This window comes from Homo sapiens, chromosome 8 (genome assembly GCF_000001405.40).
Source record: "Homo sapiens chromosome 8, GRCh38.p14 Primary Assembly".
Taxonomy (NCBI): domain Eukaryota; kingdom Metazoa; phylum Chordata; class Mammalia; order Primates; family Hominidae; genus Homo; species Homo sapiens.
In genome coordinates, this window is record NC_000008.11 from 10,714,063 (window position 1) to 10,739,026 (window position 24,964).

At 52.2% G+C, this 24,964-nt stretch overlaps 1 protein-coding gene and 1 long non-coding RNA gene across 2 annotated transcripts in view, besides 6 other annotated features; one reads left to right on the forward strand and one right to left on the reverse strand.

Moving 5' to 3' along the window:
* Positions 1,514-2,719: an enhancer, noted in NCBI's record as "amplified fragment containing the chr8:10573085-10574291 (GRCh37) conserved CAGE region with expression in endothelial cells, salivary gland, pineal gland and aorta". NCBI's record gives its function as "drives transgene expression in the vasculature, dorsal vein and dorsal aorta {active_cell/tissue: dorsal aorta | dorsal vein | vasculature}" and the evidence as "EXISTENCE:transgenic organism evidence [ECO:0001131][PMID:24670763]".
* Positions 1,640-2,294: an enhancer, noted in NCBI's record as "H3K4me1 hESC enhancer chr8:10573212-10573866 (GRCh37/hg19 assembly coordinates)". NCBI's record gives its function as "activates a minimal SCP1, AML or CMV promoter by ChIP-STARR-seq in primed H9 embryonic stem cells {active_cell/tissue: H9 hESC(primed)}" and the evidence as "EXISTENCE:reporter gene assay evidence [ECO:0000049][PMID:30033119]".
* Positions 2,970-3,059: a silencer, noted in NCBI's record as "silent region_18914". NCBI's record gives its function as "represses an Ori minimal core promoter by ATAC-STARR-seq in GM12878 lymphoblastoid cells {active_cell/tissue: GM12878}" and the evidence as "EXISTENCE:reporter gene assay evidence [ECO:0000049][PMID:35858748]".
* SOX7 (SRY-box transcription factor 7) lies at positions 9,706-16,449 on the reverse strand. The gene is made up of 2 exons (NM_031439.4): positions 16,134-16,449; positions 9,706-12,604 (listed from the first exon to the last, which is right to left on the reverse strand). Exons 1-2 carry the CDS (start codon positions 16,369-16,371, stop codon positions 11,676-11,678), a joined length of 1,167 nt encoding a protein of 388 aa, NP_113627.1. The 5' UTR covers positions 16,372-16,449; the 3' UTR covers positions 9,706-11,675.
* The window catches only part of SOX7-AS1 (SOX7 antisense RNA 1), a 43,620-nt gene continuing 33,884 nt past the window's right edge, over positions 15,229-24,964 (forward strand). Inside the window, exon 1 of the long non-coding RNA NR_146188.1 lies at positions 15,229-15,568. This is a non-coding gene — a long non-coding RNA (SOX7 antisense RNA 1). The remainder of the gene's footprint in view (positions 15,569-24,964) is intronic.
* Positions 16,518-16,657: a silencer, noted in NCBI's record as "silent region_18915". NCBI's record gives its function as "represses an Ori minimal core promoter by ATAC-STARR-seq in GM12878 lymphoblastoid cells {active_cell/tissue: GM12878}" and the evidence as "EXISTENCE:reporter gene assay evidence [ECO:0000049][PMID:35858748]".
* Positions 17,506-18,330: an enhancer, noted in NCBI's record as "H3K27ac-H3K4me1 hESC enhancer chr8:10589078-10589902 (GRCh37/hg19 assembly coordinates)". NCBI's record gives its function as "activates a minimal SCP1, AML or CMV promoter by ChIP-STARR-seq in primed H9 embryonic stem cells {active_cell/tissue: H9 hESC(primed)}" and the evidence as "EXISTENCE:reporter gene assay evidence [ECO:0000049][PMID:30033119]".
* Positions 20,092-20,734: an enhancer, noted in NCBI's record as "H3K4me1 hESC enhancer chr8:10591664-10592306 (GRCh37/hg19 assembly coordinates)". NCBI's record gives its function as "activates a minimal SCP1, AML or CMV promoter by ChIP-STARR-seq in naive H9 embryonic stem cells {active_cell/tissue: H9 hESC(naive)}" and the evidence as "EXISTENCE:reporter gene assay evidence [ECO:0000049][PMID:30033119]".

Here is a 24,964-nt window from a genome sequence, read left to right on the forward strand (position 1 = left end):
TCCTAGGAGGCGGGGCCACGGCCAGTTATGCATGGGAACAAGGCCAGGCCAGGTGTCTGGGGGCCCCTTGCCATGGCCTGGTGACAGAAGGTGTGGCAGCAGCCCAGGGCAGCTGAGGCAGGATGGAGATGGTGTCGTGGGAGGTGTTCCCTGCCTGGATGCAGTAACTGTGGCTCCAGCCCAGCCATGCACAGCACCTGAGGCTCACCCTGCGACGGCTGTGTGCAGTGGGACCCCCACCCAGGTCACTCCCCCGCTGCCACCTCCCTAGAGACCACCCCATGCCAAGGCCAGGGTCAGAGAGGAGGGGACCCTCCCCTTTTCCTTTCTCCCTTTTCACAGACTCAGAGAACCAGGAATATTCCAGCTCTTGGAAACTGTCGAGTCCTGCCTTTTAATTTACTGAGCCCCAGAGAGGGGAAGCAACTTGCCCAAGGTCACACAGTGGAAAGCCCCACAGAGCATTAGATGAAAAGGCCTAAATAGACCCCAACCTTCCTTCACCCGCCCCTCCATGCTCGGGAGACACAGGCAGCAGGGGCAGCCCAATGCCAGACGCCTGGGTGCAGATGGTCTCACTACACAGAGAACTCCCCACCTGCCTCTGGGCCACCCACCAGCTGTTTCAGGACCCCAGGCTTAGCTGCTGATGGGGGAGGCTCACGTCCAGGAGCAGCCCGAGTGATGGCCGCCCCTCCTGGGCCTGAACCGGGGCAGGAGAGTTGGGGAGGCTAGGGGAGCTGGGGGCCAGGCTCCCACTCCCCAGCCGTGTGTGCTGCTCCATCGGTGGAGACCCGGCCCACCCAGCTGTGTGGCCTCCCTCGGCACTTCACCCGGCCTTAGCATCAGCTTTGCCACCTGTGAAAGGACAGAAGCATGTCTGCGTCAGGATTGCCGGGAGGGTGGCATGAAATCCTGAAGTGACGCCGCACCTCGCAGATTCGAACGGCAGAGCTGCCGCCTGTTCTCCAACGTGCCTGTGCAGTCAGCTCTCGGGGACACACGTGCCAGTGTTGTCACCAAGGCAAGCATAGGTTCATCTTTTCTGGCCAGTAAACACCCCCTTCATGAACCTTTTGTTACCAACAGCCAGCTCCCTGAGGAAGGCGGGAGTGCCTGTGTCAGTGGGGCTTGGGAGGCAGGTCTGTAGGGAAGGTGGGGCCCACCTACAGGTTGAGGGGAGTCCCTTGGGCCCGGGGCGCATCGGAGGCTGTGCTGCGGCAGGAGGCTTGTCTGAGAGCTGGCGCAGGCCTGGGGAAGCTCACATCTGCGACAGTGCCTCTGAGCAGGCTTCTAGTCTCCCAGGACCTCGGTCCTTATTTCACAGCTAGGGCACTTGGCAGATGCTGCAGGCATCTCTCCCGGACACAGGCCTCCTGACCACCTCCTCTCTTGTCCCTCCATCTTGTGCACCTCCCATCCCCAAGCTGGAGCCACACATCCCAATCCCCCAGGGCAGGAGACTGGCCCTAGAGGGGCAGGACAGAGAGTGGAAAAACCAGAGGGTCAGCCCAAGATGACACTGAAAAGGGGGAGTTCTCCCTCCAGCCGCCGCCCTCTTCCTCAGCGGGAATCGGGACTCTGGGCTGCCCTTGGGAGTGGCCAGCACCCCTCATCATTCCTGATGCTTCTGGGAGGGAGGGAGACCCTGAGCTCCCATGTGGCTCAGCCCTTCCAGTAACAGACGGGCAGCGAGGCTCAGGGAGGGGTGGGAACTCATCCAGGCCACACAGCTCAGGGCAGAGCCAGGGTGGCGTTGGGGTCCTGGGATGCCAGCCCCTGCCTTTTCTCTGTGCCAGCCTGCATCCAAAGCCCACAACCTCAGCTCAGAGGATGTCCTTCCAAGGTGACCACAGAGACAGCAACTGACCAGGTGGAAAAAGGCTGGTCCATGGAGTCTTCATGAATAAAGTGACCAATTTTCTAAGCCCAAATGCCAGGCAGGGGGTCTGATAAAGACAAATGATGTGCAGTCACTGCTATCCTTGAAAATCGTTGACTTTGGAGCAAGAAGACCAAAGTCTTGGGGGGACCGGGGTGGTGGGGCCCTCAGAGAGGCTGAGTGCTCCGAGGCAGGGACCTCTGGGCTGCTGGGCCCCTGCCGGCTTCCTGTGGCTGCTGGGACAGGGCGGGGAAGGAAGGCTGGCCGGAGCGAGCTAATCTGGAGAAGTGATTTTCCTCCTGGGCCAGCCCTTCCCTGGGCAGGGCTCTCAGCAGGCGCGAAGGTAGGGCGGCCGGGGCTCTGCAGGGAGGGGCCGGCTTATCAGGCAGGAAACACTGGGCTCCAGCCACATCCTCCTGCTCCTGGTCACAGCAGCTCCCATGGGCAGGAAAACACTCAGCAGCCACTGCTCCTCGGCCTTCTCCGGCCCCTCCTGCGAGCCTTCCTCCTCCTTGGAGACTGGAGTGCTGTGTGCTGGGTCTGCTGCCCCTAGCTCTGCCTGCCTTGCCAGGCGCCCTGGGACACCCGCCGCCTACTAGGGCCCTGCAGCCTGGTCACAGTATGGCAGAAAACCGACAGAAGGGCCTAGGGTGCTGGGGATGTCGGGGTGGGCTCCTTGGACCCATCTATGCCAGCCCGGGCTGTCGGAAGCCACCACCTGTTCCCTCCCACGGTGGGCCTGCAGGTGCACACTGGAACGCCCCCTCCTCCGGAGCCTCTTCTCAGCCCTGCTGTCCTGGGCCAGTACCCACAGAGACAAGCAGCATGAGAGCAAAGGCCTTGGGAAGACTCCTAAATACATGGAAGCCCTAAGCCTCGATATCCCCTCCCGCCTGCACTCCCGGCCCCTTCCCCGCTTCACCCTACACCTTTGGAGCTGTGCTGCCAGCCCCTGCCCCCTGCTGAGACCCTGATGCAGCAGAGCCCTTCCAAAAGCTCGGCCTTGGGGGCTTCTCTCCGCAGCCCTGTGCCCTCACCCTGGCTCCGGGAGATCCCACTTCCCCAGCTCTCCCCCTACCACCCACGCTCCCCCCACAATCCTTCACCGACTTCTCTCTGCTTTGTGCCCTGGGGAGGACACCATTCGCTGTCTGGGCCTCCACTTCCTCTTTCATCAAATCTGAGCTTGACAGTGACTCCCGCCAGCCTAAACAGTCAGTGATTTTATTTTTCAAGCTTACAGAGCTTGATTAAGGATTACAGTCTTCTAATTTCAAGCCTCGGTTCTTTTTGGCACCAATGCAACTCTGCTGTTTACCTCAGGATGCCTCCGAATGGCCTGATGGGAGGACAGGATGGATCCCTTACAGTCTCCTGTCTCCTGCAGATCTTATGATGTTTCATGCTTTCCATGACTTTCACGGTGCCCTGAGCTGTGGGAGCCGGTGCTGCTGTTTTTCAGGGAAAGGAATGAAGAAAAAGAAAGTTCTGTGGCTCCCAGGGATGGGGATGGAGGAGCTACGAAGCCCTCTCGGGTTCTCTGATAGGATGGGAACACCAGCTACTGTGCTGAGAAAGCAGGAAGCCAGGGATGCCTCTGGCCACCCACCCACTTTGCACGACCTCTCAGGCCTGGAAATCACAGCCTTACCTCACAGGTGTCAACATCGGAACATCTAAAACCCAATGACCAGCCTCCCTGAGGCCCCTGGAGGCTGCAGACCTTTCATTCATCAGAAGCCAGTGACTTTTCTGGGTGGAATATTGTCCACGTTTTATCGTCCCCCCTCCAACTTTGTCCCAGAACCACGCCACCCCACAGCCACTCAGACAGATGGAGATGAGTAACCATAAGAAAGGACAGTGGTCAGGGATGGGGAACCAAACACCATTTGAGCCAGGAATGAGCATGAGCCTCTGAGAAATGACTACACACTACACCTACATGCAGAACATTCCAGAAGCACCCGCAGAGCACCCCGTCTCATCCCCTGCTGAAACCCCACTTTCCTCTCCCATTCTTTGTATAATGAGCCTTATCTCCTCCCTCCCACCCCCACATCCACGCGACACTCGGCCTCTAAGTAAGGGGAACGCACACCAGAGAGGGGGTCTAGAGGAAACCACAGGCCCTACCCGAGGCTCAAACACAGTCCCCAGGGGAAAGAAGGGTGCAGCCAGCCAGCAGGGACCAGGATTGCTCCAACCTCTGCAGATGACGTCAGCAGACATGGACCTGGACTGCAGCAGGAGGGACTTAGGTGAGACGGAAGGAAGGACTTTTGGATGATGAAGCTTGTTAGACTAACTTATAGAAAGCAATTCCTCTTTCTTTTTTTTTTTTTTTTGAGACGGAGTCTCGCTCTGTCCCCCAGGCTGGAGTGCAGTGGCGCAATCTCCGCTCAGTGCAAGCTCCGCCTCTCGGGCTCACGCCATTCTCCTGCCTCAGGCTCCGGAGTAGCTGGGACTACAGGCGCCCACCACCAAGCCCAGAGAATTTTTTTGTATTTTTAGTAGAGATGGGGTTTCACTGTGTTAGCCAGGATGGTCTCGATCTCCTGACCTCATGATCCTCCCGCCTCGGCCTCCCAAAGTGCTGGGATTACAGGCGTGAGCCACCGCGCCCGGCCAGCAATTCCTCTTTCTTTTCAGGATTCTCCAGCCAAATAGAAGCCCATCTACCAAGAATGGCAAAGAGGACATCCTCACTAGAGGAAGGAGAATAGGCTAAAAAAGGACCCAAATGGTCTCTTTCAATCCCAGTTTTGCGCCCAAAGAAGGAAACTGACAGTGTTCCTCTATAGTCTACATTAAGTTTACTCGGGGGGTCCTCTCCCCTCATTTCTCCCTCACAATCCATACCATGTGACAATCGCTGAACACGTGGCTCTGGATTTTTCAAGCTAGTATCTGCCTCCAGGCCTAAAAACATCCAAATGGTCTCAAGAACTCCAAAATAGGCAATAGCCCTCCTATGCATTCACATACAGCTCTGCCATTTCTAAAATGCATATGAATCCACTCATAACCTCCTTAGATGACAGAACCGGTCCAGGGATTTACCCAAGTCCCAATTAAAATCCAGTGATGGGTAGGGCCAGACCATGCCCCCAGGTCTCGACTGTTTTCGGGCATCCTCCCCCTGTATCAGGAGCTCTGAGCAACCTGCGGATGCTGCCAGCAGCATGGGCGCATGCACCTGGGACACCTGGGAGGACCAATCCAGTTGCCTTGGTAACTCATAGAGCAATACTTTGCCCCATATAAGTGGTTGACGCTTAAACTCAGGATAAAAACCGCTTTCACATGTCTTGGGCTGAGAGCAGTAGAAATGGGTCAGAAGCCAAGGAAGAGTGTGTCATTCACGGTGGTGTCTGGGGAAATGGATGTTCCCGATTTGCTATTGGAAGCCGTCAGGAAGCACAGGAGAAGGCAGAGGTGCCAGGACAAGTGACGCAACGGAGCCCGGTCAGATTGAAGGCAGTCTTATAAATAGTCTTCAGACTTTAATTCTTCCCGTTAAGAAAAAGTGAATTCATTCTGGGAATGGAAAGGAGTCATTTTTCCTTCGACTATCAGTTCAGACTCTGGGAAACCAACGAACCATTTGAAGCAAAGCCTGCAAATATGCTCATGTGCTTAGACCCAGTGATTCCCTGATGGGAATCCAGCTGTGGGTGCAAACCAATAGATGTTCACTGCGGTGCTGTTGATAATGGCAAAAAAGGAACAATTTAGTGATCTGATAGCAAAGGGATGGTCGAGTAAAATAAGACCCCTGTATTAAGTGTGGTATTCTGCGTCATCAAAAATGATAAATATGAAGATGGATATGAATGTGGTAAAATTTCTACAACAGAATGTTGAACAGAGAAAGCTGAATGCAAGTGGCCTCTATAGCTACACAATGTTCACAGCATGTACAATTATGTGTTCATGGATGTGGGACTAGGGAATTCAGTGAACAAACATGAGTGTGTTGAAAAAAGGTCATGGAGTGGGTGGTTTTTCTTTCCGCCCCCCCCCCACAGTTTTTTTATATTAATCTTTCAACTAGGAAGAGAACATCTTTTGCAGAAAAATGGAATTTAATGGCATAGAAAAAAGTTCATTTAATATTAATGGATAAAATGTCTATTACAAAAGACATGTATATATGCATTATATCTACATCAAAAAAAGAAAAAGGGGCTTGATAGATATATAACCAAAGTATTACCATTAGTGTCTCTAAGTTGTGGACAATAGATGACTTACTTTTTTCTTTATGATGTTATTTTTTTCTATACTTCTGACAAACATTATATGTCCCTTTTAAGAATTGAAATATCAGTGAGTAAATGGATGGATGGATGAATGGATGGATGGAGAGTGGATGGATGGATAGATAATAGATGGGTGGGTGAGAAGGCAGGTAAGGTATGGGATGGATGAATGGAGGTGTGGGTGGGTAGGAGGATATATGGCTGGCTGGCTGAATGTACAGATATATGAGTGGGTAGGTTGATGGATGAATAGAGAAGAAGAGAAAGAAAGAAAAAGAAAGGAAGAGAGAGAGAAAGAAAGGAAGAAAGGAAGGAAGGAGGAAGAGAAAGGGAGGGAGGAAGGAAGAAAGGAGAGAAAGAAAGGAAAAAAGAAAAAAGGAAAAGAAAGAAAGAAAATGAAAAAAGAGAAAGGAAAAGAGAAGAGAGAAAGGAAGAAATGAAATAAAGAGAAAGAAAAAGGTAGGATGAACAGCTGAATGGCTGGCTGGATTGATGGATGGGTGTATATGGATTAAGGAGTGTATGGAACGATAATTAAAGAAGGAAAGACAGAGAGAGAGATGGGGTGAATGGACGGATGGATAGATGATAGATATATAGACAGACAGCTAAGTAGATTCATATAGATGTCTCTCTCTTCTTTTCCTTCCTTCCTCCCTCCTTCCCCCCTCCCCGCGCCCCCAACGCCCCCGCCCCCTGCCCTGCCATCCCTTCCAAATTCCTTTCACTGGGATGAAACCAGGAGCACAGCCTCCTCAAAAGGAAAGGCAGACTAGATGGATGACAGCAATCTTCTGCCCTCAGCCCTCTTCTGCTGCTCCACGCTGGGGCAGGAGAGGAGTGCTCTCCCTATGTCTCCGTGCCCATATCCCACCCCAATTCTGCCAGGCTACACTCCAGCAGGTGCAGGAGAATAGTCATGGCCACATCAGACCCAGCCTCAGAGCCCCAAGAAGGACACACACAAAGAACCCAAGGTCTTGGTTTCCAAGGAAATGGGAGTTAAACTTAGAGACGCAGAAGGGTTCATTCAGGTCTTTACCACCAAGATTAACAGCATACCTACAGGGCATCCCAGGTGGTTTTTTAATTTATATATTTATTCATTTGTTTGTCCAGCAGCCTCTGTGGGTCACCCGCGGGAGAGAGTGCACAGGGCGGACGGTTCCAGGGCCAGCAGTGAGCGAAGTAACCAAGGTCTGCCCGAGTCCTGTGGAGGACGCCTGGGGAGGAGAGTGACTGGCCGCTCTGCTGAGTGAGGTTGGGCATGTCTGAGCTGGACTAGGACAGTGAGTGTGATGTCACCAGATGGTGACAGAAGTGAGGGTCGCCCAGGTCAGGGAATCAAGGATCAGCATTGGTGAAAACACAGGAACAGAGAGAAGGCGAGAATTTCCCTGGCCCCATAGGCTTCCCTGTGGTAGGGTACACTGCAACAGGCAAGGGTTGCGTGAGAAGCTTCTGGAAAGAACGGGATCAATCACAGGGGTGCTCACACGGGGGCTGAGCCCAGTGTTATGAGGTTTAAGGCTTGCACAATTGGGGCAGGGGGTGAGGAACTCCTAAAGAATACAAAAGCATTTTCCTTTTTGCAAAGTTTTTACAAACCAGTGGCCATGTGAACGCATGACTAGGCCCCTCCCAGGACCCTGCACAGCTAGGGGCCCAGAGTAGGAGCCACAGTGAACCCACCCTGGTGCTACCTGTGTGCCCTGGGCAACAAGCCGGCGCTGAGGGACCTTAGGGAAAAGTGTGGAACTGCAGCACATAGGATTCAGAAAAGGAACTTCTAACTGTGCCTTGCCATTGATTCCCACTGGCTAAAGCAAGACATGTTCTTTGCACCAGAGGCAGCGATGTGCCAGAATGGGCAACTAAAACTCAAAGATGCCCCTGGCTCCTGGGCACGACTGTCTCACCCGTAGCTGAGCACAGTGGAAGAGCGGCCTGGTTGTCAGCCTGCTTCCTGCCCTCCCAGAGACAGAAACCATGCCCCCACAGTGTGTCCTGGAATGAAACATGCCCATGAGGCAGTGGCGGGCTGACGTGGCAGGCAGGCACTGGTAGACAGGAGCTCCAGGCAGCCGGTGACACTGCAGATGCACGGGCCGTAGCTGCAGCCACCGGCCTGGATAGCAAGGTCTTCAGCGTCATCTCACTCTGGCCTATGATATCCTTTCCTCTTTCTTTCTTTCCCTGGGCCATGATGGGTATGAAGTGGACCTCATATGACTCCATGCCATAGTAAAGTGGGGAAAGTCAGGCAGCACCAACTCCAGCAGTGAGACCGACGAGTGCTGCCAACACACATCTGACGATGCTAAAACACAGGTAACATGGCACACGAGCCAGCCACCCTTCGCCAACGCCCACCCCGGGCCTCTGTGTCCCCTCCTGCACAACGTGGTGGGTGGATGACGGGCCCCACCTGGGGCTGTGGATGAGAAACAGCCCATAAAACTTTCCGTAAAGCTCTGCACACCTATAAAGTGCTATTAAAGTAATGACTACAGATTAGGATCAGAACTGAAGGGAACACGCATGCCCATTTGGGCTCTCCCAAGACTCACTCCTTGGCCCAGAGGGCCTGGGAAAACACACAGCTGCCCTTAACTCCAGCAAGTTACAACTGCTTGCCCATGGACAAAAGCCAGACAGAGGTGACCTGCACAGGGACTGAGTCATCCTCAGTTTCTTCCAGTGCTTTTTGGCTGGGATGTTGCTCCTAACCCTCACTAGATTTGCATCCTTTCATTATTACTCTGTGTGCTCTCCTGCCTTCTCCACAATGTCCCATTGAGTTCTGAGAGCCTGTGACATATTTCCACAGGACATCCATAAACACAGGTGTGTTTCGAGATTATTTCAAAAAGAAGAAAAAAAATGTGACAGTTTTTTGTTTGTTTTTTTGACAGAGTCTCACTCCATCGCCCAGGCTGGAATGCAGTGGTGCCATCTCAGCTCACTGCAATCTCCGCCTCCTGGGTTCAAGCAATTCTCCTGCCTCAGCCTCCCAAGTAGCTGAGATTACAGGCACCTGCCACCACACTCACGCCTATAATCCCAGCACTTTGGGAGGCTGAGGCGGGTGGATTACCTGAGGTCAGGAGTTCGAGACCAGGCTGGCCAACATGGCGAAACCCCGTCTCTACTAAAAATACAAAAAAAAAAAAAAAATAGCTGTGACAGTTTTAAGTAAGCAAACGAGTAGACAAAACTTACTTTCCTTCTTCAGACAGCCTCATAGTCACCTCATTCCACTTTACGAGTGTAAAGTCGTCACAAGGAGAAAATTGTTCTACATGTAGGTCATGAGTTGACATTTTCTTTCATTGTCAATAAAAACAGCAGATTCCAATGCGTAAAATTTGGATTTATCTCTTTAGCATAACTCATAAAATAAAATAAACCATCCCTACCAGATAACAACTTTTTAAAATAAAAAAGTCGATGTAGAAAACATGTTGATCAATACCACAAGTAGCACCCGATGTAACATTTATGTCTTGCTTGGAAACCTTTTCTTTTTGCAAAACTATATTTCAAAAGATAGAACAGTCATGGTACAAAAATGTTTATTTAAATTAAATATTTGCAACAAATTAATATTGACAACTGTTCCAAAGTATGAGTTGTTCTTTCAAAAAAACGAAACAGTTTAGCTTAATGTCTGTGATACTGTTTTATGAGATTATTCATACATGCTCTGGACTGCGCATCAGTCAATCATATCATCAACAATTTACTATTTATTACCAAATGGCATATAAAGTAATAGCATAAAGAGTAATCATACCTTATAAGTGATTTTACAATAGGACATCTTAGAAGGACAAAAAGGATTTATCAACAATACAAAACATAAGATAAAAATAATAGGAGATTATATAAAACATATTTCATACAGGAAATAATATGCTAAAATCAAAAAACCAACAACTGTCTTTCAGCACACTGTTATGCATGCTCCTTTAAAGGAGGTTTGGGGGAAAGATGAAAATATTTTGGGGGCAGGGGTCCAGGGCTCAGAAACATTTTTGGAATCACAGTGAGTTTCTGATTTGCGGGAAGTTGCTCTAAAGCACTGGCTGAGGACTTTGCCTGAGGACCTGGCTGGTGAGGAAGACAAATTCTCACAGCAGCTAAAGGAAGCATGCTTGGGATAAGTCAGGGGCTGTTTCAGTTAGGGACCAGTTCAGCAGTGGAGGAAGAGCAGAAAGAAGAGAAAAAGAAATCCCAGAAAAGAGAGTAAGGAAGCTGGAGACAGCCGGGAAGGAAGCACCTTTTGAATCTACAGAGGGGAAAGTGTGTATCCAGATTTGAAGACAGTGACTTTGCTTGGTTGCAAAGTCCTTTTAGGTACCCTGGGTCTTTGGTCATTAGAAACAGGGAGTTGGCAACAAGTTGTCATTGTTAATAAAAATATCTGATTTAGACTTTGAGTTTAGGAGTTGCATGAAGTGGGCATGTGTCTCTCACACTCCTGGTATACATTCAGACTGTGCATATTCTTTTTTTTTTTTTTTTCTTGAAATGGAGTTTCACTCTTGTTGCACAGGCTGGAGTGCAATGGTGCAATCTCAGCTCACTGCAACCTCCACCTCCTAGGTTCAAGACATTCTCCTGCCTCAGCCTTCCAAGTAGCTGGGATTACAGGCATGCACCACCACTCCCAGCAAATTTTGTATTTTTCATAGAGACAAGGTTTCACCATGTTGTCTAGGCTGGTCTCAAACTCCTGACCTCAGGTGATCCACATGCCTCGGCCTCCCAAAGTGCTGGGATTACAGGCGTGAGCCACCGTGCCCGGCCTAGACTGTGCATATTCTCTTGAAGTGTGTGTATAATAAACAAATTAACAAAAAAAAAGAACTGCTTTAAAATGTATATTTAAAATAAAATAGTTTTAACTCAATCCCATTTTCTGTGATATAGTTAGCCATACTGGTTAATTTCTCAAATCAGGTTGACTGTTTTTTCTCAAATTGTATGAGTCCCTTTGAAATTTTGTGGTCACTTTGGAAGGGGGTGCAGAAAGTGCAGAAAGCCTCGTGGTCCTTGGGCTGTGCACACAAAATTATCACCAGATCGTAGGTTAGCGAGCTCATTAATGAGTCAAATTTCCCCATCTTCCTTTATTAATCTTGAGAGAACCCTAAATCAGAAAACTGGACCAGAAGGGACCTTGGCTATCAAGTCTGTCCCCCCATTAGTTTCGATGATGGCTACCAAGAAAAGACGTCAGTGAACATTCCACTGGGAGACAGCAACTCTCAGGGGCTGGAGGAAAACTCACTTGAAGGAATATACTTAAAATGTGGGCTGCAGGGGCTGGAACGTGGGGAAGGGGATAGAGGCGGCACTCGGATAAGGAGAGTCCAGCTTAGGCCAAAGGCTCTGGGGCCGCAGTTCAGACCTCCCTGCCCTGAGCGGTGGGAGGAAAGCTGGTGTGGCTGGACGGCTCCTCTGCCACTCAAGGCACAAGAAGGAGAGGGCGCGAGGGCTGACCGGACGGGGCGCCTCCAGCTCTATGACACACTGTAGCTGTTGTAGTACGTGGCCGTGGCATCAGCCAGGACGGAGATGAGGCTGGTCTCTGTGGGACCCGTTGGTGTCACCTGGGAGACCGGAACATGCCCACTGAGGGCCATGGCCCCTGTGGCGGAGTCTGGGTGGCCAGGAGTGTTCAAATACTGGTCGAATTCATTGCGATCCATGTCCCCCAGGAGTTCCACCTGGCTCAGTTGATCCAGGGCGTCGAAGCCAGGGTGCTCAGGAGGCGGGGAAAGCTGGCCCAGGTGGGCTTGGAGGTTGGAGTGGAGTGGGTGGTAGGTGGCCGGGGAGTAATAGGCAGGAGATGGGGGACAGCCGGGTACAGGGGACATCATGGAGACGCCGGGGGACTGGCCAAGGGCCAGGGAGCCCAGGGGGTGGCTACAGTGGAGAGGGCTTGGGGCGTACTCCGGTGAGTACGGGTGCCCTGGCAGGTGGGGGATGCGGCGGGGATGGCCATGCTCCTCCTGGCAGGGGGAGGAGAAGAAGGTCTGCTCCGGCTCCAGCACGTCCAGGGGAGACATTTCAGGAGGTGTGGGCAGCCCGTACGGGTACGTGTCCACACTGCTCGGGGTGCCGCCGCCGCCACCACCAGCCGGCCCCTCGTGGTAGCAGCCCCGGAGGCTGGGCAGGGCAGTGCCGGGGGAGTACTCACCCCTGTCCTCCTTCTCCCCCAGCGCCCCCCGGCTGCCGCTTCTCTTCTCCGGCAGGGCGTTCTGGTCCCGGGAGAGGGAGCTCAGAAGGAAGCCCGGGTCCACGCGCTTGCACAGCCGCTTGGCCTGCTTCTTCCTGCGCGGCCGGTACTTGTAGTTGGGGTAGTCCTGCATGTGCTGCAGGCGCAGCCGCTCCGCCTCGTCCACGTACGGCCTCTTCTGGGACAGCGTCAGCGCCTTCCACGACTTTCCTGCTCACACAAGGCAGAGGAGGCCATGCTCAGTGCTGTGCCCCGCAGGCATCGCACATGCACACGCGTGCACACACACGTGCACATGCACACACACCTCCCTTCCCCCTCCCAGCCACAGAGGACACGGGCATCTCTTGCACCCTCTTCCCAGCCCAGATCCTGCAGGCACAGTGAAGCGAAATCAACCCCTCTGCTTGCATCCAGAAAGCCAGATCGTGCACGGTGCACACAGAAAGCATCACCTCTCATATAAAAGCCGCCAGAGCGTGCCCACACTACAATGCGGGGTCCCCAGTGAAAAGCCCACCTGACCATATGTCAGCTACGGGAAGAAAATATCTAATGATCACGATATTGATTGGGGCTCTTTTTACCCTTCCAGGGTCCATTCTAAACATTTGTGTATTCTCATGAAAATCTCTGCCTTCATTGATTAGTGCAGGCTAAAGAGATACTATCATATTTACCTATGGCATAAATCTCACAGCCCTTTCTGGGAGGGAACCCAGGCTCAGTCAATACTTTCACAGATGTCAGTAAATCAGAGATTCTCACTTAGGTTAACAAATACCTATTCCTTACCTCTGAAGGTCGAATAGAACCCTGCTGGATGACTGAGGCCAGAATGCTAGCATCTGCTTGCAACACATATACGCACACCCAGACACATGCATGCACACACATATACATGCAAACCGTCACTTCCAGCCAGCCATCTTTTGGGGACCCTTGACGGTGCCAGGGCACCTGCTTAGCCACAGATCTCCATGCAGAAGCCATTCCCTGCACTTTCCAGAGTCTCTATTTTCTTCAGTATAAAATAAAGATATTGTGACACTCTCCAGCTCCAAACTCTCTCTTTAAAAATTATTCCATGCTTGCAACCCACTGGTGCTAATATGCTGGCTGCGCTTGATCTTCTATTCACCATTGCTTGCTTGTCTGTTGCTTTTCAAGTTCCCGGAGCATCTTCCCTCATCTATCAGTGTGCACTGCACACCCTTCTGCAGTGGTTTCTAGGGGTGGGGGGCTTCTGGACCCCTTGGGTTGCTTTGCTACCTCCTAAGGTGGGCTCAGGATTCTACAACTTTAACATGTTCTACCATGATGCTAATGTGTCCTGAAGTTTGAGACCCGCTAGCCTAGAGGTTAAGGCCTAAGGAAAGGGCCCTGTGTTCCACTCAGCACATTCTGCACAGGGCCAGGTGCAGAGCCGTGCACACAGCAGCCCTCAGTGCCTCCGTTGACTGGCTCCTTGGGCCAGGGGCTCAGAGCCAGGGGAGGGCAATGATTAAGGGCATTGTACCAATTGGGAGAAAATTTATAGAAATTCCATGGAGCTTTCAATTAACATCATTAGCTGTCACTCAAAAGGGCAACTTGAAAGTGTTAGGAGCTGCAGATTCAGGGCTGGTCGTCAGTTCCCAGCCTGTGGCTGAGGCTACAAAGCTGTGGCAAGTGACCCAAGATGCAGGTGCACCCCATACTCTGTCTGTGGTCTCAATATAAAATGTGGCCGTAGCTTTTAAATGTACCTGGATGTTATATAACTAATAAAATACGTGTTCATTTAAAAATGCTACCAAAGGTCTACTGCTCTTTATGCACTTTCTCATTCATAATATATTTTAAATACCAGTGTGACTAGGTCACATTTTTAATGTTAAGGTTTGGAAGGTTTATAGTGGAAAAAGTTGAGACTCGCATATCCAGCCTTTTCCTCTCAGGTCAGAAAGGAAAGAGCTGAGAAGGAAATGTCACACAGGTGGAGGGGATCATCCTGCTGCCCCCTACTAACAGGTGCACAAGTCCATATTGTGAAAAGCACCAGTGTTGCGGTTTCCCTCACCCAGTGCCAGGAGCTACATGGCTCAGCAGGAAGGAATCTGTGTCTTTTCTGCAGAATGAACTGTAACCTCCTGAAGCTGAAGTGCAGGCCCCGATGGGGACCAACTCGCAGGAAGCATCTGTCTCCTGTGTCCCTGTCCCTGCCCCTTTCCTGGGAGCAGGCTTCCCCAACTCTGCAGAGCCATGCTCCTCTCTCCTCCCCATTCCCTGGCCCAGGCCTGCACAGAATTCCTCCTCTGTCACGGTCACAGCAGGGGCTTGCTTCCCCCTGTTGGCAGGGTCAACAGGCACAGTGCCCACGGTCCGTGGAAAAAAAAGTTTGGGGATCCACAACAAACATATTTTCACTTCTTTTAAAATCTGAAGAAAAATATAAACTTACAGGTTAAATAAAATGTTTTATTATTGTACATATTAACACATTTGTCTTTATGCCAACACTGTGTAAAATACAAATGTTACTATTTTTGTTGAGGGAAAAGGCCCCAGAAGGCCCCAGACCACTAAGGCGAGTTGGTGCAGCCGGCCACCAGGCTGGGCCCTTGGCAACCAGCACTCCATCAACTGCTTTGCACAGCAGCTAAACCGCAGGAGGGCTCGGCCTGGGACCCCCTCTGCGGGCCTGCGGCTTTAGCCAGCAGAAAGAGGGGCGTCAGTCCTATCCCCAAAGTTCCGCCTCGGGAAAGAGCCCTGAGCTCTGAACTCCGACGAAAAAAGGAAGGGCTCTGTTCCGGACCGGGTGGGGTTTGGGAAGGGTAGAGCCGGCCTCGGGTGCCCTTCTTACAGGGCCTGTCTCCCGCTGCGTGCACCAAGTGCTTTGAAAGTTTTTCGCGGATTAAAACGAATAAAAACCTCGTCGAAAGGCAAAGAAGGCAGGGTTGAAAAGTACTCAGCTCGACACCGGAGAAAAAAGAAACCCCCATAGGAACTCCGGTTGTTCGGGTGTGTCCTAACAGCCTCACTCTGGACCTCTTGGACCTGGTGAGTCCGTGTCCCCAGTCCCTGCGGGGACAGCTCAGGAAGAGAGCGGGTTCCAGGACAGCCCAAGCATCCGAATCAAGTTATCTACACCTTCGAGACTGAGCAATAGATGAACGAATCGAGTCTATTTGGGTAAGCTTTTTCTTTTGTTTTGTTTTCCTCTTAATTGTTTAGTTAAAGCAAGGATTCGTTCCTCAGGGTCTCTCTTCGGGAATATTCGTTAATTATAATTTCATCTGTGACAGCCTTCCTCTGAGATGGCCCAATTGTAAGGTCCAGGGAATGCTGGCTTTTCCCGCTTCGGTATTCCTAGTAAACGCCTGTTCCACCCAGCCTCAAACGTTTCCGTCCCTGCCCTGTCCATGCACGCCGGTCCCTGTCGCCAGGCGTCCTGGCCTGGCCGCTGCCCCGTCTCCCCGCCCCCTGGGGCGCCGATCTCCGCTCCTGTCCCAGCAGAGGAGCCTCCCTGCCCGCCGCGCGGTTTCACTTTGGACCGCGCCAAGTGCCCCCGCTCTGAATCCTGGGCACCGCGAGCACCCACGCTCGCGCAGATGGCCAGCCACGCGGGCACGAAGAGGGCCCTCGTCCCGCGTGCCGGGTCTTCCCCAGGCTCCGCGCTCGCACCCGCCCTGCAGTGCCGCCAGCCGCCCGCCGCCCGCCCCCGGCCCCCAGCCCGCTCGGCCGCGCGCTCACTCACCCAGCATCTTGCTGAGCTCGGCGTTGTGCAGGTCCGGGTTCTGCACTGCCAGCCGTTTCCTCTCGTCCTTGGCCCAAACCATGAAGGCGTTCATGGGCCGCCGGATACGGCTCTCGGAGCCCTTGTCCCCCGGGGGCCGGGGGACGGCCGGCGGCGATTGTCCATCCGACAGCTCGGCGTCCAGGGCCGGGCACTCGAGACCCTCGGGCCAAGGGTAGGCTCCCAGCAGCGAAGCCATGGCCGCACGCGGGTCGCCTCGCTTCGCCTGGCGGGGCAGGCGCGGACCTGGCCCTCGCACGGGTCGGGGCGTCCAACTTGGCCCGCAGCCGCGACCCGGCCCCTGATTTATCAGCTTCGGGCGGCCGCGTCCTCCAATGACTCTCCAAGGCGGCGCGGCCCCTCCCTCGGTGTCGGCGCGGGTCCCCTCCCTGCGTCCCGGGCCGCCGCCGGGTCCCCGCTCCGACCTGCCGGGAGGAGGACGGAGGGAGGGAGTGAGGGAGGGCCTCCTCCCCGCGCCTGCCCCCGGCCCGCCCCTCCGCCGCCAGGGCCCGCCCGGGGATCTGCGCCCGGCTGCCCCGGGCCGCCTCCCGCCCCCTGCCCTGGACCCGCAGGTGCCGCAGAGACGCAAGGCAGGCGCTGGAGGCCCGCTCCAGCCCCTGCCTGCCCGGGCCAGACTCCACCGCCCTCCCTGCGCGTGTGGCCTCAGAAAATCAACCCAACCAGGTTTCGCCGAGCCCGCCTGGGTGTGAGAGACATTGACCATGAACCCCTCAGAGCAGCCGTTCTTAATACTCCGACTGCCATTCCTTTCGAAAATGACCGGGCTTCGGCCACCGCAGCCCCAGTCAACTTGGGCCGCCACAGAGGCCGGCCGGAGCCGGGGCTGGGGGCCGCATCCCGCCTCGGGTTCTGTGCAGTGCTCACCCAAGACCCCTCGACGCCCCCGCCGCCCCTGGCTCTCAGGAGGGCGAGGCCGTCGTTCTGGTTCTCAGCCACCTGATTGATTTCTCCTCTCACTCCACCCGCACCCAGTCTCCGGGTCCAGGCCTCCAGCTCCCTCACTTCTGGCTCTTCTCACCCTGAATTTTCTCCTTATATTTTTTCTTTCTTCCTCCGATTGGCAGTCCCGCTTCTCCGAGTGGAGTCGCTCCCGCCCTCTCGCGTCCCCCCCTGGCTGCGCTGCGACCTGCGAACTCCCCCAGTTTCCCTCATCTGCACACCCTGGTGTAGACCGACCGTGCGCGCCGGGCCCACGTGCAGCCTGGGGACTGCAGGCTGGGAGCTCACGGCCATCTCTCGGCCGCGCTCACCGCAGCTCCCCTGTCACCCGGCCCCCTGTGAGGAGCTCTGTTCCCGCGCTCTCATATAAGCGCCGGCACACAGTAGGCGCTCAAGGCCTGCAGAATGAGTGAGCAAATATAGCTCAGACACCTACTGAATGAAAGTCGGCAGGTTTGACTAGATCCTGGAATTTAAAATTTACTGAGCGCCACCCATGTGCGGGGCTCCACAGAGGTGATCCTGGAAGGAGGCAGCGTTGTGGGGGTGCGGGGGTGCCGTGGGGTCCGGAGTCAGAACCTTAGTGTTCAGGTGACTGAACGCGCGACTCTGGACAAGTCACATCTCTCTGGATCTCTTTTCCTAATCCTAACACGGGACAATGATAAGACTGACTTTCCGGGGCTGTTGTGAAGATTCGGTGAGATAAATGCAGAGAAAGCTCCAACCCTGCCTGTGATGCTTGATGTTAATATAACTCTAGGCATGAAGCCCGTGAGCCTGAGTCCGGATTTCAATGTCCCCGCGCGCAGCGACCGATGCCTTGCATGCAACATGCAACGGGCCCGACGGCTAAGACCCGGCAAGTGTAAGGTGAACTGCAGCGTCTCTGTGTTCACGTCCTAATTTTTACCTCTAGAGCCGGGGACAATTTTCATCCGAGAATTAGCTTTCCGCACAAAAGAGATGGCTGGGTTTGCCCCTCTTTTCCAGCCAGGATTCAGTAGCAGCACCCTAGGCCGGTGCGCCCCAACCGCTGCACTGGTGGGCCGGGAATACAAGGGTGTGGGGCGGGGCGCGCGCTGCGCAGCTCGAGCAGAGAACAGGGTGCCCACCGCTGGGGCAGCATCCTGGAACCAGAGGCGAAGCGGCGGGGGACCCACCTGGGGCCGTTTGCAGAGAGTGCGTCCTCCATCTAGGCGGACTTCCCAACCCTGCAAAGCCCAGGCCATTTCCACTGGCCAACCCCTTTCCCGCATATGCCTCCAGCAAAACCCTTAGGCCAGAGTGCGCCTCGTGGGATCCAGGGCCGCGCCCGGCCAGGAGAAGGGAGCTATTTGAGAAAGGGGAGAAAGAGGGTCCCACGGGGGGATTGAGCGGCGGCGGAGGATCCCGGGAAGAGCTCGTCCCCGACACTTTCTGACCCTACTGAGCTCCAGGGCGGTGGCAGTGCTCTGCAGGGTCGGAGGCCACGAGGGGACAGCGCCCCCTTCCCGACGACGGGCGTCCCCACTCCCGGCCGCAGCCCGTAGCACCCTCCCTGCAAGGCCCCAGAGCAGAGCGCGAAAGCCGTGGGGCCGCGCCCGGGCACCAGGTTAGGAAGATGCGCCCTCCCCAGGGAACACGGAATGGTCAAGTTAGATCCCAGACACCGATGGCAACAACAGAGAAAACAACGGGGACGGGGCCAGAGAATACGTGCTGTGATTATTGTCTGCACTTGTTTAGTTTCTTGCTTTTCCTCTGCAGCGAGCTTGCAAGCCTGGGCTGTCCAGGAGGTGAACATTAACCTTCCCAGCGCTGACGCGGGCGCCGCCCGGGGCTTGGAAATTGTCAGCACCGCGGTAGCCGGGCTCGCTCGCTCCATTCCTTCATTCCCTTGCGTCGACGCATTTATGCACCTTGGCAACTGTAAGCGAGCGCGCCCTGGTGCAGGCGACGCCAAGGGACGCGGGGTCTCCATAACCTCGCCGATTCTCTGGTCACTGCGACCTTCAGTCCTAGAGCTCCGCGCCGACCCTACGCGACCCCAAAGCCTGGAGTTCGGAGGGCTGAGCTAGAGGGGGAGGGCGCCAGCCCTGGCATCCCGACACTTGCTGTCGCCAGCGCTGGGTTCGGGGCCGCGGCCAGCGGTGGGTCCAGCGGCTCTTGGGTCGAGGCTAGGTGCGGCGAATCATCACGGCGCGGACCCTGGAAGACCTGGAGGAGAAAGGTCGAGGCCCAGGGCTACCGGGCCGGATCTTGCGGGGCTCTGACCCGCAGCAGGACCGGTTGGGGGTTCCTGCAGGGGCCGCCAAGCAGAGGCGGAGAGGCAGGGCCGGGTGTGGTGACGCGGGGCGCACTGGACACCGCGCGTGCTCCACGCAGCCGGCCTGGCGGCACCACCACAGCTCACTCCTCCCGCGTGAGTCACCTGAACTGCACTCTCTTAAAAGATGTTCTCTTTCTTCCTTCTTTCTTTTCTTTTCCTTCCCTCCTTTCTCCCCGACCCCCTTCTCTGTCCGTTTAGCTCGGTAGTTCTGTGAACACTGGTTTCCAAGGACACAGGGCCCGAAGCCAGAAATCCCCAATTCCAATTTCCTGCAATTCACTTGTATTTTGATAACTGACTTAACTACTATCGGCCTCAGTTTCTTCACCGGTAAAATGGGGATAATACAAGGTGGCTGACACAGTGTTTGTAAAAGCTCCTAGTAGACTTTTCTGAGTTGTGAAATATGAAATCGTGAGTGGGCGAAAACCAAAAAAAAAAAAAAAAAAAAAAAAAAGTCGGGCCTCCACAACTTTCCTCTCCAGGAGCTGTTCTTATTCTATTCCAAACGGAGGAATTTCAGCTGCCCTGGGGGGAAGGGGAGAGGGAGGGGGAGGAGAAGAGGGAGGAAGAGGGGGAGGGGGAGAAGGAGGGGGAGGGAGAGGGCAATCCCGCCACGGTACCCCTGGCACCTGCTCCGAACCCGCCGCGAACCCGGAGCTCTGAACCGGACCAGGCGCGTCCCGGGCCCACGGCCTGCCTTGGGCGGAGCCACCGCGCATGCTCCGGAGGCCCGCGGCAGCGCCCGCAGGCGTTGGGTGCAAGTGTTCTGTGGTTGCTTTTAGTTCCTCACACCAGGCTAGAGGTTGAAGTCATTATCATCACCATCTTTGATCACGCTGATTTGTCTGTACTTGATTGGCAGTCTTTGCAAAGCAGGTTCCCATTCACTGGCTCATCCCCGCCTCCACACAACCCTCGAAGCAGAAGGCCCAGAGTTTTAGGACTGAGCCATTTCCCATACAAGGCGGGTGAGGCTGCGGCTACAAAGGCCAGAGCACAGACCCCAGCGCACGGCTCCTGACCTCACGCCTGGACTACCAGGTTCCTGTGCGCCCCGGTAGTGCCCCAGCTCGAGGGAAGTGCTTCTAACCAGCCGCTGCGACGCCTCCTGGCTTTGCGCCCCCTCTAGCCTGGTCTCTGGAAGTTCCACTGCGCCTTTCCTCATCCACAGGGTGCCTTCAGTTTAAGGCGTGTCCTGAACAAGGTAACGTGAAAAGCAAGGGGCCAAACCCTGCTGGCCACGGCCGAGGTGCGGGCTGCAGAGAGGGGAGACCCGGCCAGGCCTGCCAGCCCCGCCTCCCGCGCCGTGCGGGGTCCAGGAATCTGCAGCTCGGGTTTTCTACAAGACGCTGTAGTGGAGTTCCTTGTTCAACCCACGGAAATCTCTCCATAGTCATCGAAGAGAAACCCACCAAGTTCCTAATTCAGAATAACTGTGATTAAAACAGCAGGGATTGGCCGGGCACGGTGGCTCACGCCTGTAATCCCAGCACTTTGGGAGGCCGAGGCGGTCGGATCACCTGAGGTCAGGAGTCCGAGACCAGCCTGGCCAACACGGTAAAACCCCGCCTCTACTAAAAATACAAAAATTAGCCAGGTGTGGTGGCGCGCGCATGTAATCCCAGCTACTCAGGAGGCTAGGGAGGAGAACTGCTTGAACCCGGGAGGCGGAGGTTTCAGTGAGCCAAGATCGTGTCACTGCACTCCAGCCTGGGCAACAAGAGCAAAACTCTGTCACACACACACACACACACACACACACACACACACACACACACACCGAGCAGGTATTTAAGATGTACACCTGCAGTTTCACTGCGCTGACTGAAGCAGGCAGAACACAAGGACATTAGGTCAGTTTCACAGAATCTAAGGTCCAGTAGCTTTTCCATATGAACCTAGGGAACAAGGAATATTGTTTTCAGACTAGAATGCTCCTGGATGTGGGTAGTGTAGACCCCTTATAATATCAAAACCTTTTTGTAGTTGCTTAAATTACTAAGGTACAGTTTCCCCGGGTCAGGCATTCCTGGTTACTACAGCGGCCCCCCTGTACACACACGCTTGTGAGCACCCCTAACCCACCACTTGTCTCTGATGAATCATGTTTCCAGCGGATAATACCTAAAACTTCCGTGGTGGGAGGAACACTGACTTGGAACCAGAAGCCACAAGGCCAGTCCAACCTGCCACTACTGTCTGCGCACATTTTAGCAAGTCACTTCACTGGTTAACTCACAGGATCCGGAGCCTCAGTGAGGCCCCGAGAGATGAAGGACTTGTCACGTTTTGTCCACTTGGATAGCACCGAGATAATCTAATGCTCAGTCTGTGATTTGTGTTTGCTTCTCCCTAGCACTGAGGGACGTGAGTCCCAAGCCAAGAACACCCTTTTTCTACAATAACTTTCTTCCACTCCACTCTGAACAATTATCAGGTTTCCTTTAAGGGGGTAGGTGTGTCAGATTACTGCATAGAAATGATCTTTATTTAATGGGTCAGAAGCTAGACTTTCAGACAAATTTCAATAGAAAAATTAACAAACTACAAGATAAATTAGCAGTTGGTTTAAGGGGATATTTATTTCTTTTTATCCTATTGCCTCTTCTTTTCCAAATGTCTAAGATGAAGAAGTGAAACTGATTAGAAACCACCCATAATAATACAACATGGAAAATAAGCTTTTTCTTAGGACCTCTGTACACACGTCTGACTTCTGGGTAAATAGGATCAGGCTAATGATGAGACAGCCTAAATAGAGATGTCATGACAGAGAATTCTGTCATCAGCCAACAATTCCAGTGTGAGAAGTTGAAGATACTTCGTATTTGTTTAGATTATGAGATTGCTTTAATGTGTGGATTTCAAACTACTATGTTTTGTTTGTAAGATAAAATGTGTGTTGAAGAGAAGTTTTGTTTGTAAGATAAAATGTGTATCTACAGAGAAGTGCATGGAGTTTTAGCCAGGTGAACACACCACATAAGCAGCACTCAGATCGAGTAACAGGCTTTGCGAGTCCTGATATTTCTAAGGCTCCCTACCACTAAGTTGTAAGCTCCCTAAGAGCAGGGACTGAGTACCATTCTGGTTTAAAATATAGTACATTAATGGAAAATTTGAGTATGGCTTGTGTCTGCTTCACTGTGTCTGAGTCTGGAAAGACGTGAACAACTAGAAGTCACCTGAATGGCCAGAAGCTAGAATTATCTGGAGGCTTCTTCACCCACAAGTCTTGCATCAGAGGAGGGGTGACTCAAAGGCTGGGCTAAGTTGTGGCATGTCTACACATGGCTTCTCCATATATTTTTGGCTTCCTTTTTAGCATGGTGGCCTCAGAGTAAATCTGATATGTCAACTTGGGATGCCAAGAATGAGTGTTCCCATAAACAAGCCAAAGCCTAAATGGCCTTCTAAGACTTAGGCTCAGAAGTCACATAACATCACCTCTAACCCATATTTGTCGGTCAAAGCAGTCACAAGCATGTCTAGATTTAACCAGAGGAAATATAGCCCTCCACCTCTTAAAGTGGGGAGTGTCACAGAATTGTGGCTGTGTTTTAAAACCATGAGGTATGTGTATGTGTGAGATGGTGGAAGTGAGAACACCAGAGGTTTATAACAGACAAAGTAGCTACCTTTGTAACTCATAACGCTCTTTCCCACCCCAAGGCCAATGTCAGGGCAAAGAAGTGCACCTTCTTTTTCCACACACTTAAACGAAGTCTTACACAATGCCATACCTTTGAAAGGTTTTTCAAAGTTCCTCAAAAGAAACTAATAGAAATAGGAGTATAGTAATTTCATTTTTGAGACGGAGAATGTTGAGGCACAAGATGTACTTAGAAATATAAAGCAATTTAAAGGATAGAGCCGGAGCTGGGCATTGAAGTTCTATTTGAAAAAAAGCTTAATGAGTGATGTGTCTATATTTGGAACTCGAATTTTTAGGGTTTGATCAGAGGGATTTGTCAAGGATATTTTGAAAAGAATTTCAGTGCAGGTAGAGAAAATGGGTTCTAAGCCCTTCTTCAACTGGCTTCTTAATAGCCGTCATCCCCTACGTTTCTGACACTGGATCTAGTTCACATATTATGTGGAGCAGTACTAATCACAGTCTTGTTTACCTGTGTAAATATAAGTTTTAAGGTGCTCTTACACATACCATCTCATTTCATTTTCAAACACCTTATAAGGTAAGCTGGGAAGGTATTTGATTATCACCCTAATTGTGTAGATGAGAAACTGAGGCTCATAGAAATGAAATGACAGGTGGCGAGTGACAGACCTGGCAAAATGACTCCATTCAAGGCTCTCTCCAAAATATCATTCATTGCTTAATTAAGCCCATAATCCATGGGATTTAGGGCTTGACTGAAATGAAGTTGGATCCAAACAAACAACATCACATATAAGAAAGTAAGTTTTAAATTATAAAAACTTCCACTTCTGCTTATGATGGAGTAACAGGGATCAGATTAACGCCCCACCTTAAACCAATACAAAACTAAGCAATGTCTGAGTTTTCAGACACTGCACAACAGACAGTGCACACAGTAATTCTGGAAAAGAGAAACAAATGAGGTGAACCCAATACGTGCCCCTGATCATTGTCTGGAGAAGGTCTCCAGGCCATGATGCAGGGAAGGGGAACTAAAACAGAAACCAGGGTGTTGCTGAGTTGAAAAGTCAAAGTTCTGAGCTGAGAGAGGATGAAGCAGAGAAGAGTCTGCATAGACAGAAGGCTTCAGAGATCTAAAGAGAGGTCTCCTTGAATTTTTGCCTGACAATGATCTGCACATGTATGTGAAAAAAATCCGAAGGCTATGGAAAGAATCACTGGAAAAAAATTAGGTGGACTAATTTCCTGAGCTCATACCAGGACAGAAAGAGTTTCTGTTCCCACAAGACAAGGTGGAAAGACCTCCTAATACATGGGACATCAGGTAGTATCCTCAGAAGACTACTGTCTGATGGAAAAAGAAATAGGAAAATACAATCCACAACCAGGATGAAAATCAGTCAATAGAAACAGCACCAGAAATGACAAAGATGATGGAATTGGCAGATACGGATGTTAAAAAAGTTATTTTAAATATACTCCTTGTGTTCAAGAAGGTAGAGGAAAACAAGATCACAGTTCTTGAAAACAAGATGTAAAAGATCTAAAAAAAAAAGAGCCAAATCAAAATTTGAAAGGTAGAATATTTGAGATACAAAATACCCTACAGAGGATTAATAGTAGATAAGACATTGCAAAATAAAATATTAGTAAACAAGAAACATGCCAATATAAACAATCCAAAAGGAAAAACAGAAAAAAGACTGAAAATTAACATAGAAGTAACAACTTGTGAGACAATATTAAGTGGCCTAACATAAAAGTAGTTAGGCTCAGAAGAAAAGGGAGAGATTAGAAAAACATATCTGGGAAAATAATGGCTTAATGTTTTTTGAATTTAATGGAAACTATAAATTCACAGATTCAAAAAGCCCAACAATCCCCCACCAAAAAAAA

Bases quoted from the DNA above. Each gene is read 5' to 3' on its own strand.
- SOX7 (NM_031439.4), bottom strand. From the start codon at position 16,371: ATGGCTTCGCTGCTGGGAGCCTACCCTTGGCCCGAGGGTCTCGAGTGC. The intron at 12,605-16,133 runs GTGAGTGAGCGC...TTGTGTGAGCAG, and splicing joins CGAGCTCAGCAAGATGCTGG to GAAAGTCGTGGAAGGCGCTG.